At 36.3% G+C, this 14,498-nt stretch overlaps 1 protein-coding gene across 14 annotated transcripts in view; it reads right to left on the bottom strand.

Annotated features, from left to right (window-relative positions):
• Nucleotides 1–14,498, bottom strand: part of PARP8 (poly(ADP-ribose) polymerase family member 8) — a 180,589-nt gene that overhangs the window by 20,187 nt on the left and 145,904 nt on the right. For 10 of the 14 annotated variants that reach the window (NM_001178055.2, XM_011543631.4, XM_011543634.3 and 7 more), the window contains 4 exons: nucleotides 10,809–10,901; nucleotides 4,995–5,120; nucleotides 3,933–3,998; nucleotides 1,358–1,425 (listed from right to left, as the gene is read on the bottom strand). In NM_001178055.2, the coding sequence (NP_001171526.1) occupies nucleotides 1,358–1,425; nucleotides 3,933–3,998; nucleotides 4,995–5,120; nucleotides 10,809–10,901 (353 nt within the window). The remainder of the gene's footprint in view (nucleotides 1–1,357; nucleotides 1,426–3,932; nucleotides 3,999–4,994; nucleotides 5,121–10,808; nucleotides 10,902–14,498) is intronic. The other 4 variants (XM_047417705.1, NM_001178056.2, XM_011543632.4 and 1 more) reach the window with 1 other exon arrangement.

The following is a 14,498-nucleotide window of genomic DNA, read 5'->3' as shown; positions in this document are numbered from 1 at the left end:
TTTAAATATTTGAGGATCTCTTTGAGCTGATATATATACAATGGTTTACATACAAAATCCAACATACGTAGACTCTGCAGTTGAAAAAAATTAAATTGAAGTATCTGAAAGGAACTGCTCTATAAGCACACAAAATAATAAGTTTTGGTAGACTCTCTTCATCTTGAAAGAAGAGTGACTAACAAGCTGAAGGAAATGATCACAAGAATTAAAAGTTAACCATCTGACTACAAGGAAAAAAAGAAAGCAACTAGATATATGCAATTTTTACCTTCAATCTGAATATAACAATGAGAAAAATTTAAAGGTTACAATGGAAATTTAGTGTTATTTTACTTAATTGTTTCAGAATTTAGTAACAGATCATAACAGATACAAAGAAGGAAGGCTTCTATACCTAATTTTTGTTATAATCTTGTTAGACTAAATTAAATGTGTACTATAAAATTTTAATGAAGTGAAAGTTAAGTAATCAGAATCTTGAGGAAGCCAGATTCTTTTGCATCTGCCCACCTTTACATATTTTTTTAAAACTTCCTGGTCGTAGCATGGTATAAGTGCTCATTCATATCAATCTCTTATAAGCCTTACATTTGTATTACTGTATGGTAAATCTCACGGAGTTGGAGTTTTCAAAGTTAATTCAAAGAGACATGTGTATAAAACCCTTATAAGGGATGTTGAGTAGAAACTAGTGTCTTCATTTTGCAAATGAGAAACAAGAGAGGAAATTATTAGAAGTAGAAGAGGGCAAATTATTTGAAATGGGCATCACAGCAAGGTGACTTCTCTCCTCTTCACAGTCTAGCCCTCCTTCTAGAATTCATGCTGGGGTAACACTACATCCCTCACCAGGCTCACTCTGAAACTGTGCATCTTCTGCACTGAGCAAGCAGAGAGTTAAGAGTTAATCATATTTATACTGCCTTGTTAAGGGAGCAAAATATAAAACATTTATTTTAGATTAGAAAGATTTCAATAATAAAGGTTGAAACACTGAGTTTGATCACTTAGTCCTCACTGAACTAGAAAATTAAATGAACCAAAATGCTTTTGCCACATAAGCTAGTTAATCACATCTTTTAAAACTATAGGCAAACTGCTGTCAAATGCACTATTTATCCCTGGTAGTGCATGTGACAGCATTCTCTTCCCCTTGTGATGTATAAGTTTTAATTAAAGTGAGAGTCATTAAGGACTCTAAGGTTGTAAAATCACCAGGTCTCATAAGCTTGTAGAACTATAGCATTGCAGGGCTTGTAAGACAGGTTTACTTTTGTTTGTTTGGTTTTTTTCCTTAAATCAAGCAGTAGAAAAGGATGCTGTTTTCATTAAGAGGAAAACTAGAATTTTATACCATTGCAGTAAGGGATGAGCAAGGGGGTCCTGTTTATCCATTTGCTTCTTGATTTCCAGATATGGTGCCTGAAAAAAAGTCATTATACTTCTTGATTTTTCATAAAAATTCATTTTTCCGTTTTCACAAAAGGAAAATCAGACCAAACGATATGCCTAATCTAGTAAGACTTAAAAATTTATGGACTTAACATGGGAACAACAACAATTGCCCTAGTCTTTTCTCCCAAGATGATGGGAATTGTGAACTTTCATGCCACCAAAATGACTTGCCCAAACACTGTGTTAAAAGACTTGTCCCGATTTTAGCCTGGCTTCCATTTACACTAGCCTATGTCCCTAAAGATGACCACTCTCCAGCCCCCTGTTGAGTTTCTGCTCAAGAAAACGTGATGCTCCCAAACCACAAAATGTATATTGTACCAACCCACTTTGCCAAACCATTTTTGGTAATTCTCCACTTATCCCCTTCTGTAACTTTCCATTTTTACATAACTCCTCTAGTCCCATCTTCTTTTCCTTGCCTTTTCACTTACTTGTAGCGCCTTTTGCTTCCTCTCCTCTGCCTTTAAAAACCTGGATCACCTTTGTCTTAGTTGAAGTTGAGCTCAGTTTATGCTGCAGTCTCTCTCCCCCACTGCAGTGCTCTGAATAAATCTGTCTTGCCACCTTTACAAGTGTCCTGTAAAGTTTCTCTTTCACAATGACCATTTTAACCAATAACCAATATGAAAGCAAAGCTTGTGAGGGCCACTACTAATGCTCATATCTGAGAGTCCAGACTTAGGTATAGACCTTTACATTAAAAAATTGGACACAATTTACCTAAGACGAAGCCTTCTCTAAAAAGTATTTAAAGGGATTTAACCAACAACCATTTCACAGAACAAAGAGCAATCTCTCCGTGACAATTTAGGGCTACGTATAGGACAGTACATTCTAGAAAACAGCACAGTATAATGTTGTATTTATTCAGAAAGTTTTAAAGAATTTGACACAATAAAACCTGAGAGCTTCCCTATGAAGTACACACCGAAACAGGGTGCAGCATTACTACTTCCACCTTGACAGCGAAGCGCCAAGCAATTAAGCAACTTGCCCAAGGTCACAGGTCACATTCATTGATGAGCCAGTTATACAATTTTGGCTTCTTAACTTCCTAGGCTGACGCTCAGTCGTCTACGTTCCCTTCTATTAAAATAGCTTACACATGACCCAGAATAAAGAAAGCAATTTTTGGCAGAGAGCTGATTCCAGAGTCAGAGTTTGTAGCTATTTTTAAATCCAAAAATAATCAAGGTCTAGGGTATAGTATACCTTATACCAAAGTCTTTTTCATGACTAAAAATGTTTATATGATTTTGTATAAGATATTCCAATATGTTCTTTTTTTCTCCTAGGTGGAAATACATTTTATTGTTTTCTTTCCCTATACAAATAAGGAGTGCTTGTCTGAGAAAGAATTCAGATAATACAGAAAGGTACTGGCATAGAAAAATAACCCAAAGGGATGGTGATTTTTTAAGCAAATAATAACATTTGTGAATTAAAGGATCTCTTGTTTACTCTTTGCCAGACACACACTATTTATTGAGTGAATGAACGAATATTTGACTACATGAATAAATGATGATCGAAAGAATCAAGAATCAAAATGGAAATGCAAAAATGTACTTTTTGAGTACTGTCTTCCTACAGAGCAGTAGCGATAACTCTGGGGGTTGGTGGGGGGCGGGGAGAAAGCTGCATAGCAGCTTAGTGGGCCCTGGGACAGGAGGGTTCCCCTATTCCCTCCCCAGAGAAAATAAAGGACCCAGGGTAATACTCATTATAAGCCTGCAAGGGTCTCTAAGGCAGTGCAATCCTTGAAACCACTACATGCAAGCTGCACACATAATGTGCGTTGTCAATCTCAGATTATTAATTTCTACTTACAATGATAAGTTTTAAACCTCTCTCCAAGTCTTTGGCAGTGGAAAGGTCTCAATAATTCAACAGTGTGTGCTTTTCCAAATGCTGGACTATAGCCCAGGGATGTGTTAGATTTTCCTAACAAACCCCGATCCTTGCTCATCAAACTATTTCCACCAAAGCCTCCCTTAATGACCAAAAACATAAACCCATACTCTCCGGGAGCCTGGCATCTTCCAAAGTGGTTTTGGGATTTTGCATTATATAAAATATTTATGGAAAAGTTCCATTTTAAAGAACATTTCTGTTTTTAATACTCAAATAATGTTTTGAAATTGCTACCATCAATTAAAATTGACAGTCTAGGAAAATGGTACCAGATTTAACCTTTGCCTTAAAATATCCCGACATACCTACATGTACCCAAGCTCTTGCCCGAGTTTGAGGGCAGAGTATTAGGAGTATAATTATCTTATAATTATCCACTTACTTTCCTGAAGTCACAGTGTTACATGCTAGTACACTGATGTGATTTAATTAAAACATCTTAATACCGCACAAATTTTTAAATGATATGTATTATAGAGAAGTCTACATTTCACTACATAGCTAGAACTCTCAGACATTTTAAAAATATACTGTACAAGACCAGATGACATACTTACTTGTGTCATTTCTCTGATAGAAGTTATGCTATCCAGTGCTTTCATTACTCGATCATAGTTCTTTTTCTGTTTAATGAAAAAGTGATGTTAAAAAACAGCATTTGCTTATAAGCTCTTGCAAGTCTGTATATCACTAGAGAAATATATTATTTCCATATGTGAATTTTCCACTGGGGTCAATTTGAAAGAAATGACTGTTTGGTGTACATAAAAGGGAAGACTATAATAAGATGGCTCCAGGACTTCAGTCAGAGAAAAGAAACAAAGAAAACAATGCCAATCCTTCTATAAGCCATGGCGGAAAAAATCTAGAAACACAAAAAAGTTATGGGGCTCCTGATTCAGGCTTTCACCACTAAAACACTAAGCCATAATGAATAAAGTCAACATAGAATCCTAAAATACAAAAACCCACTTCAAATCTCACAACCGCTTTTATTTTATTTTGAGTTGAATATTGTTAACAAGAGTATGGTTGACAGTATACAAATGATAGCATACAGTCACATAGCTGACAATTCATTTTCAAGCAAGATCTAAATATGTGCGCTGTTGCCATTTATGAAGAAATAAAGTTCTTCCAAGAAAATTGTATACAGTTGTTTCTATAAAATTATTTCAAGCTGAGTAGTAATAGAAACTGAGGCAACTTCAGCTCTTATGCAATTTGAAAGTTTTGTAATTTCAAAAGGATTCTGCCTTATCTTCAGGAACATTTATAAAACTGCTTCCTTAAGAAAGGCCAGTCCATTAACAGTATGAACTAAACTTTCACTAACCTTCAGATAGCTGGGGAGGAAGAAGGGAAAGAGGAAAGGAGGGTTGAAGTGAAAATGCAGAAAAGAAAGGAAAACTTGTCCCTTTACCCATGATCTTTAAAATCAAAATGAGGTTATGTAAGTCGGAATCCCCAAAAATATATGATGAAATTAAATACTCATGGATATGCTTGATGAGATAGAGATTTAGATAGAAAGAGGAAACCTAATGAGACTACAATCTCAATATTGTTGTTATTGTTAAAGAAAACTTTGTGATTGGTGTGCCATGATAACAACTTACCCTGGGGTTGAAGGCCAACATCTGAGGATCATTAGGATCTACCACAGAAGGATATGGCTCGAAAATCACAACTTTTCTAGGAGATTCCAACGCAGACCTACACATGGATACTAGTAGATCTACCACCTTGAAATATACACATAAGATAGTTACTACCCTTCAGGTTTTATCCAGTGCTTTGCCATTGTTTCTCCCTCTCAAGGTAGCATAAGTTAATGAGGAAGATCAGGACTGCTACCAATCTCTCAAATGTGTAATGCAAGACTTGAGACCACATTTGACCAAACTTTACCATCAATTCAAAATAACAAACATGTGCTGCTTCTCATTACTCACAACTTAATATCTCTTTTTCAAAGGCACACATTATATGCCAGTATTGTTCTAGACCCTATGGTAAGACAAGGCACAAGACAGACAAGTCCCTGCTCTGGTGCAGCTGATAGTCTAGGGGAGAAGATACACAATAAAATATCAGTTAAACAAATAGATGCTTCAATAGAATTTCTGATACTGTTAAATGTTATAAAAAAATAAAGTAGGCACTAGAGAATAATGCAGAAAGGGACATTGTTTTAGAGTGGCTAAGAAAGGTGGTGAATCTCAACAGAGACCTGTACGGGGTCAGGAAGGAGACATGCGACCATCTGGCGAGAAGCTGTTCCAGGGGAAGGAAGCCCCATGTGCAGGAAAAGACTTTGGCATGCTCCAGGAATAGCTAATTGCCTGACAACATCTTGCCTCTTCCTATTCTCCTCTATCCAAGTCCACTAATGACCTTTGATTGGCTAAAGACAATGGCTTTATTCCTGTGTTATCCTGTTATCCTATGATTCTTCTGCACAATCTACTAAGAGGCAGTACTATATAGCAGTTTGATAGCATGGCTCCCCTTGCCAGTCCCCAAAACAATATATTCTGGCCACTGAATAAAGAAAACTGATACTGCCTAAATGGTCAGAGTTCACCTGAACAGACATATCTACAGTGTGAACACAAGTGACTTAATAAGGAAGCATATATATCTTTATAGGGAAAGCTATTTCTAGAAAGTCTTTAGACAGGCATTTAAAAAATGCACAGTAAGAGGGGGCCAATTTTTGATTGTCCTGCTTCTAAGAGAGGAGTATTGTGACCTAATGACAGCAGAGCTGACTATGTTGTGTGGGTACTCACAAAACACACCCACCCAATCATAGCATCCAGAATTTCCAGTGACCTAAAATAATCAGCAACGCTCAAGACACCAGACATAACATGCCCCGAGTACATAGACATGCATATCCACAAGACACACTCTGAAAACATTAGAATGGAAACATCTAATGTTCCTGACACACTATTTCATTTGTGTGTGTGTATGTAAATACATGCATACATATATATAGATATATGCAAGAAGTTATATTCCAAGCAATAAACATAATAAGGACATAATAAAACCCTCCTTTTTGTCTTCCTCTCCCACCCTCACATTCCTTCTACTCTAGAGATGCACATTAACCCTGATACAGATTGTTTTCAGCATTATCTGGTCTCTAATGAAAACCCAAACAAGAACTGACAAAGAAGAATCAGTAAGATAAAATAGCCTTGTTGGGCGCAGTGGCTCACGCCTGTAATCCTAGCACTTTGTTTGGGAGGCCAAGGAGGGAGGATTGCCTGAGGTCAGGAGTTCGAGACCAGCCTGGCCAATGTGGTGAAACCCCGTCTCTACTAAAAATACAAAAATTAGCTGGACATGGTGGCAGGTGCCTGCAGCGCCAGCTACTCGGGTGGCTGAGGCAGGAGTACTGCTTGAACCCGGGAGCTGGAGGTTGCAGTGAGCCAAGATTGCGCCACTGCACTCCAGCCTGGGTGACAAGAGCAAAACTCCGTCTCAAAAAAAAAAAAAAAAAAAAAAAAAAAAAAGAAGATAAAATAGCCTTTTCTGAGACCTTGTAGGGAGGAGGGGAATGACACAGATGGATATGCTCTCACTAAAACCCTTTAAAAATTATGTCCTACTATGCAATTGAAGTTTTATAAAAGTCCATGCATTTTTGACCAATATTTTTACTAGTATATTTAAGTAAATTATAATGTAATAATGGGTAGTAAATTTAATTGGTAGAATATTTCTGTTAATATATGTCCTAGCCTAACTTCAAAAAAAAGTGTAACTACTGTGACTCAATTACATGGGATGCACCAAAGTTTCCAACTCCTTGCTCACTTCCAGGACACAGCGCTAATACCTGGAAGCAGCTGCTCAGCAAAGCACATTTCCACCTTTTTGTCTGAATAAGGTCTTAACCACTGGCTTTCACCAGATCATCAGTGGAAAGGGGCTGACCTGATGCAAAGAAAGGTATGTCTTCCTCAGTTTCTCTACTACATGGCATATAGTAAAGACAGCAGGGCCACATGATCGAAGGGGTCCAGTCCCCCCGGTCACCACACAGAAAGTGGCCCATCAAACATTCTAATTGGAGTGTGTGAATGACAAAATGCTACCATGTTAAGCTGCCCGTGATTTTATGGTTTATCTGTTACAGAAGCTAGCATTAGACTTTTTAAGAAGAAAAACATTTATAATACAATTTGGATTTATATTCCTTTGCATATGTTAATTTTTCTAAGTATCTCATGGACTAAAACATCCACTTTAAAAAATAAAAGGCTGGGTGTGGTGGCTCAGGCCTGTAATCCCAGCATTTTGGGAGGCGGGGGTGGGAGGATCACTTGAGCCCAGGAGTTCAAGACCAGCCCGGACAACACAGTGAGACCTTGTCTCCAAAAAAACAAATAAAAATAAAAATGTAAGAGAGGCTGGGCATGGTGGCTCATGCCTGTAATCCAAGCACTTCAGGAGGCTGAGGCGGGAGGATCCCTTGAGATCAGGAGTTCAAGACCAGCGTGGCCAAGATGGCCAAATCCTGTCTCCACAAAAAAATACAAAAATTAGCTGGGTGCAGTGGCATGGACCTGTTATCCCAGCTACTAGAGAGGCTGAGGCAGGAGAATCGCTTGAACCCATGAGGCAGAGGTTACAATGACTGAGATTGCACCAATGCACTCTGGCCTGGGTGACAGAAAGAGGCTCTCTCGAGGGGGAAGAAAAGAAAGAAAAAATAAAAAAGAGCACACAACTATGACTTCTTTTTTTTGGGGGGGGGGGGGCTAAATGATATATTTCCCCACTCCCAACGATTTAAAATTAAAGATTCTAAATAGAATCTTAGTATATATGATGCATGCTATGGACAACAAGTTACACACATATATCTGCCTTCTTTGACTGAATGATACAAATGAAGAAGCAATTTGGCAGTTGACTAAGATACTTAGGATGGAAATGCAAAGAAATATTAGGTTTAAGCAAGAAAAATTAGGACATTTGATAAGTGAAGATAAAAAGGTCTGTGAATTTACAGAATCAGGTGCCTCCAAAGGACATTACATTACCTACAATTCAACTGGCAGAGCAACCCTCCCCACACACACCCCTTTCAGGCAAATGAGAAAAATTCGGTCATTAGTCTTTAGTCATTAGTCTTTTAATAACTGGAAGTCCATGTGACTAAGAAAGGCACCTATAGGAAGAGCCTAAGGGTATACAATGTAGTCTAAAAAAGGAAGCAGATTCAGAATTATAAACCAATCATTGTCCAATACTGCAATAGTAATTTAAAAAAAATCTTAGATGAGAGCCCAATATCTAAACAAATAAAATGGAACTATTCTGTTGAAGTAGTATTTGGGGTGCTGGAATAGCAGCTGCTTAGACCACAGGACACTGTTGCTCCAGGCAAGTCCCCTGCAATGGTCCTGAGGAATGTCTTTGCAGCCCCCAGAGCACCACTTAAAATGCACGGGTAAACTGAGGCAATGAGATCCTGAGGTGGTTTCTTTTTGTTTAGAAAAAGAAGTGATTTCCCTGTAATCGTTAGGATTATGACAGAATACTGGGGAACCTGTTTTAAGAAATAAAGTATGAAAAAAATGCTGTCTTTGGAGTAGAATTACTAAACTTTCTGATCTTTTGATATTGATTTTTAGAATTACATCACTAAATTGAGCTGATCAAATACTTGTGCTTTGTATCAATCATTATATAATTTGAATTTCATTTCTATTCAAAACCATTAATTTTATGATGTAACAATGATTTTAAAAGGCCAACTATTATTCTATCAACATACCATACTGTTAGCATACTACTTTTCCTTCTAATTTATAATTTACTATTACTAGCCTTTAATTTCTTTTTTAAAGGGAAGCTTGCATACGGTAAAATGTGTGAATTTTAAGTATACTACTTGAAGAATTTTTAACATATATGCACATACACAAATCTATATAAATATACATGTGAGCATACTCATACAACATATCCCTTGTAAGGTTTTAATTATTTTTACATAGCTATAAATACCATACATATTAAAGTACCTTTTTTTTCCTTTTAGCAATATTATTTCCAAGGGACAAGAAAAACTTTCACATTTAAAAAAGAAGGATGGAAAAGAAAAAGGCTCTCCATAGTCAGATATATTTTAGTAACCCTCTAAGTATAGGCTAGCTATTTTCTTAGTTATAGGGATGCTCAGAACCGTTAATATGCAAATGTGTGCATGTTGGGTGTGGGGGAAATACGAAGCTATAGTTTGGAAATTTATTTTAATCATGGAATCATTTTTTTCATATCATATAAGACCAACATTCTACTCTTTGTATTATTTGTTTCATTTATACTTCAATTATATGAAAAATACTGCCCTAAATATTTCATCAGGTGGATGCAAAATAGTTTTAGTTAATTAAAATGACTAGGCCAAGGAGTGTGTACATTCCTAAGCTCTAGGCTACCATCTGTATTATTAAACTGTTGTGCCTTCATAAGCCTGATGCACTGCCTCAAGTTGTGCATGTTAAATTTTACTGTCCTATAGTTTGTATTAGCAAATAATTTTTTAAAACTAGGTATTCGTTAAGCTATCTGAAATCTGTTTTTGCACACAGTGTAAGGTAAAGCGCTAAACCAATTTTTCCCCGTTACAGGCCATTTGTTTCTACTTCCCTTACTAAATAATGCTTCAGTAAGTGAGGAGCTGAAACCTACTTTAACATACATTAAATTTATTCATAATTTGATCCATTTGGGGGATAATCTGCCATTGATCTGCCATACTATTCTTTGCCAATACTATATTTTGTTAAAACGTTATAGCACTGCATATATGTTTCTGTATGTGGTTGGTCTAGTCTCTCTTAATTAATGTTCATTAATTTTTTAGAGTTTTCTTTTATTTTTTTTCTTATAGATGAATTAGTAGTTTAGTCAGGTTAAGAGGGAAAAAAAAAATCTGGAAATTTTGATGGAATTGCTTTTCTTCCTATCTCTGAAACACTGCTCTGTAAAACTGAATGTTCTCTTTTTATTACATACTCTGCCTATTATCTTTTCACCTAAGTTTTAAAAATAAATTGGCTTCCATTTTATGGCAGTTATCTTTACAAATAAATTTTACATAAAGCATGCACGAGGGTTTCAATATCTCCACTTCACTGTGTAAGAAGAAATTAGAATTATTTTTCATGCAATGGAAAGTTGGTTTAATTTCTCTCCTTGGCAATCACAAAATAACGAAACACACATTAGATGGAGAGATCACATTTAGTTTACATATAAAAAAAATCAAATGCCAATTTGCCACTTAACTAGAAGTTATCAAATATTTTCCCCAAAGAATAGCAGAATGAAGATAACTAGTGGACTGGAACAAATTTTTCAAAGCAAAATAAGAAATAATTAGTATCCTGTGTTACTACCTGAGCTCCAGTTGCTATTTCATCAGCAGCTTCATTCATTACTCCCAGGGTTTGAAAAGCAAACACACACAGCTCCCGTTCACATACGGTAGGCTACAAAAGAAAAAGGAATCAATCACAAAACTTTTTTCCAACTCTCAATATCAAAATTAAATTCACAACATTTCACATAATAAATAGAAAATGCAAGGTTTAAGTGTTTTTTAAAAAGGAAATCATACCATTTTAATACGAAATAAATTCTTAAATTTAGGTAACAATTAGTAAAGAGTCATTTACTAATATAGAGTAAAAAATATTATAAAAAAGATCCTTTTCAGTTAGTTTTAGACACACTCAGAACAATTTAGCAGTAAAAATATCCTTAAATAGGAAAATTTATCTCTCGTGCTTTCATACACATTTGCACATGAGATGCACAGAAAATGTAAATACCTAAGCTGGTGATATAACAATAATGAGCTTAAATATGAAAGCTGTATAAAACAAACATATAAAGGAGAATTCCACTTTTTCCTGGGAAATTTTGTTGGAAAAAAACAAAAAAAAAATAGCATGATTCTGTTTACTTGCTACTCAGCTCTTGAAAGACTCGTTTTGTTGCAAACGAAACGGTTATTGACTTCTATAACCTCATGAAGTCAACAGCACTGAAATATACACTCTGCAATTACTTTGGAAGAGCTCTCATCTTTCAAATCTAATACAGTGTCATTCCTCTGATTTATCTTATCTCCCAAGTTACATTGCATTAGGTAGCTGATGAAGCCTAACACGATGCAATCCACGGTGCCTCTGCACAGCAGACAAAAGGCATTTGTTAGTGCCACTGCTCCTACGCTTACTTCTTTCAGAGGCCAACTTGGTCTTCTGCTTAACCAGTGGGGATGTATGGCCCCATTCTGAACATCATTTATGTTCAGAATTGGCCCATATGCATGGCTTTATAGATAGAAAGCCTGTCCAAATACAAAGCTTTCTGGTTGACTTTGCTCCAAAAAGAATTTTAGGGAAAAAAAATGAATCTATATATTTCCTTTGTCAGACTTAAAAGTGCATTTGATTCCATTTTCAGAAACTTCAGAACCATGAGAGAAAGTAGAGAAAGTTCTTCATCCAGATTCAAGCTATACACACTCTGCAATATATATTTAGATATACATAGAGCAAACTGTTCAATTTCAACAACTTTTCCTTTAACTTGAGTGTTTACTTTTAATCTTCTCCAATTTTTTTGTGTATCTATATGTTTATATGCTTTACCCTAAATTTTCCCCATGGATATTATATTGCTTCTTTTGTTCATTTTCTGGGGCTTAGAGCATGGTATGATATAAGAGTGGCAACCACTTACTGCATATTTACGATAGTGTCAAATGCTATTCTGGTGCTTCAATACAATGAAACAGTACATAAACAAGAATCCAAGGAGAAGATAAACCTTAGATATCATAAAAGGCCTTGGGAATTTATTCTTTTATCAACTACTGAGGAAGTAAACAGTGACACAAAGGGCACTTTGTTTTTAACAATACTCTTTTAGAATAACCATCACTTTTATATGATTAAAATCCATCAATCTCAAAGGCTCATTTACTGACATGAGTTATGACTAGTTTTTATCTGAACCTTGAACTATGCTTACTTTGTGAACATCTAAATACGTATATTTGTGTGTGTGTGTGCGTGTCTGTGTGCGTGTACATATACACACACATTCCAGGGACTATAACAATAGACATTGCTTTTTCAGTACCAAATTGTGTATCTCAAAATAATAAGAGCTATTTATGACAAACCCACAGCAAGTATCATACTGAAGGGCAAAAACTGGAAGCATTCCCTTTGAAAACTGGCACAAGACAGGGATGCCCTCTCTCACCACTCCTATTTAACATAGTGTTGGAAGTTCTGGCCAGGGCAATCAGGCAGGAGAAAGAAATAAAGGGTATCCAATTAGGAAAAGAGGAAGTCAAATTGTCCCTGTTTGCAGATGACATGGTTGTATATTTAGAAAACCCCATCGTCTCAGCCCAAAATCTCCTTAAGCTGATAAGCAACTTCAGCAAAGTCTCAGGATACAAAATCAATGTGCAAAAATCACAAGCATTCTTATACACCAATAACAGACAAACAGAGAGCCAAATCATGAGTGAACTCCATTCACAATTGCTTCAAAGAGAATAAAATACCTAGGAATCCAACTTACAAGGGATGTGAAGGACCTCTTCAAGGAGAACTACAAACCACTGCTCAACGAAATAAAAGAGGATACAAACAAATGGAAGAATATTCCATGGTCATGGATAGGAAGAATCAATTTCGTGAAAATAGCCATACTGCCCAAGGTAATTTATAGATTCAATGCCATCCCCATGAAGCTACCAATGACTTTCTTCACAGAATTGGAAAAAACTACTTTAAAGTTCATATGGAACCAAAAAAGAGCCCACATTGTTAAGACAATCCTAAGCTAAAAGAACAAGCTGGAGGCATCATGCTACCTGACTTCAAACTATACTACAAGGCTACAGTAACCAAAACAGCATGGTACTGGTACCAAAACAGAGATATAGACCAATGGAACAGAACAGAGCCCTCAGAAATAATACCACACATCTACAACCATCTGATCTTTGACAAACCTGACAAAAACAAGAAATAGGGAAAGGATTCCTTATTTAATAAATGGTGCTGGGAAAACTGGCTAGCCATATTTAGAAAGCTGAAACTGGATCCCTTCCTTACACCTTATACAAAAATTAATTCAAGATGGATTAAAGACTTAAATGCTACACCTAAAACCATAAAAACCCTAGAAGAAAACCTAGGCAATACCATTCAGGACATAGGCATGGGCAAGGACTTCATGTCTAAAACACCAAAAGCAATGGCAACAAAAGCCAAAATTGACAAATGGGATCTAATTAAACTAAAGAGCTTCTGCACAGCAAAAGAAACTACCATCAGAGTGAACAAGTAACCTACAGAATGGGAGAAAATTTTTGCAATCTACCCATCTGACAAAGGGCTAATATCCAGAATCTACAAAGAACTTAAACAAACTTACAAGAAAAAATCAAACAACCCCAACAAAAAGTGGGCGAAGGATACGAACAGACACTTCTCAAAAGAAGACATTTATGCAGCCAACAGACACATGAAAAAATGCTCATCATCACTGGTCATCAGAGAAATGCAAATCAAAACCACAATGAGATACCATCTCACACCAGTTGGAATGGCGATCATTAAAAAGTCAGGAAACAACAGGTGCTGGAGAGGATGTGAAGAAACTGGAATGTTTTTACTCTGTTGGTGGGAGTGTAAACTAGTTTAACCACTGTGGAAGACAGTGTGGCGATTCCTCAAGGATCTGGATGGAACTGGAAATACCATTTGACTCAGCGATCCCATTACTGGGCATATACCCAAAGGATTATAAATCATGCGACTCTAAAGACACATGCACATGTATGTTTATTGCAGCACTATTCACAATAGCAAAGACTTGGAACCAACCCAAATGTCCATCAATGACAGACTGGATTAAGAAAACGTGACACATATACACCATGGAATACTATGCAGCCATAAAAAAGGATGAGTTCATGTCCTTTGTAGCAACATGGATGAAGCTGGAAATCATCATTCTGAGCAAACTATCGCAAAGACAGAAAACCAAACACC

Source organism: Homo sapiens, chromosome 5, assembly GCF_000001405.40.
Source record: "Homo sapiens chromosome 5, GRCh38.p14 Primary Assembly".
NCBI classification, from domain to species: domain Eukaryota; kingdom Metazoa; phylum Chordata; class Mammalia; order Primates; family Hominidae; genus Homo; species Homo sapiens.
Note: the sequence above shows the minus strand (reverse complement) of the source record. Positions and strands in the feature narration are given on the sequence as shown.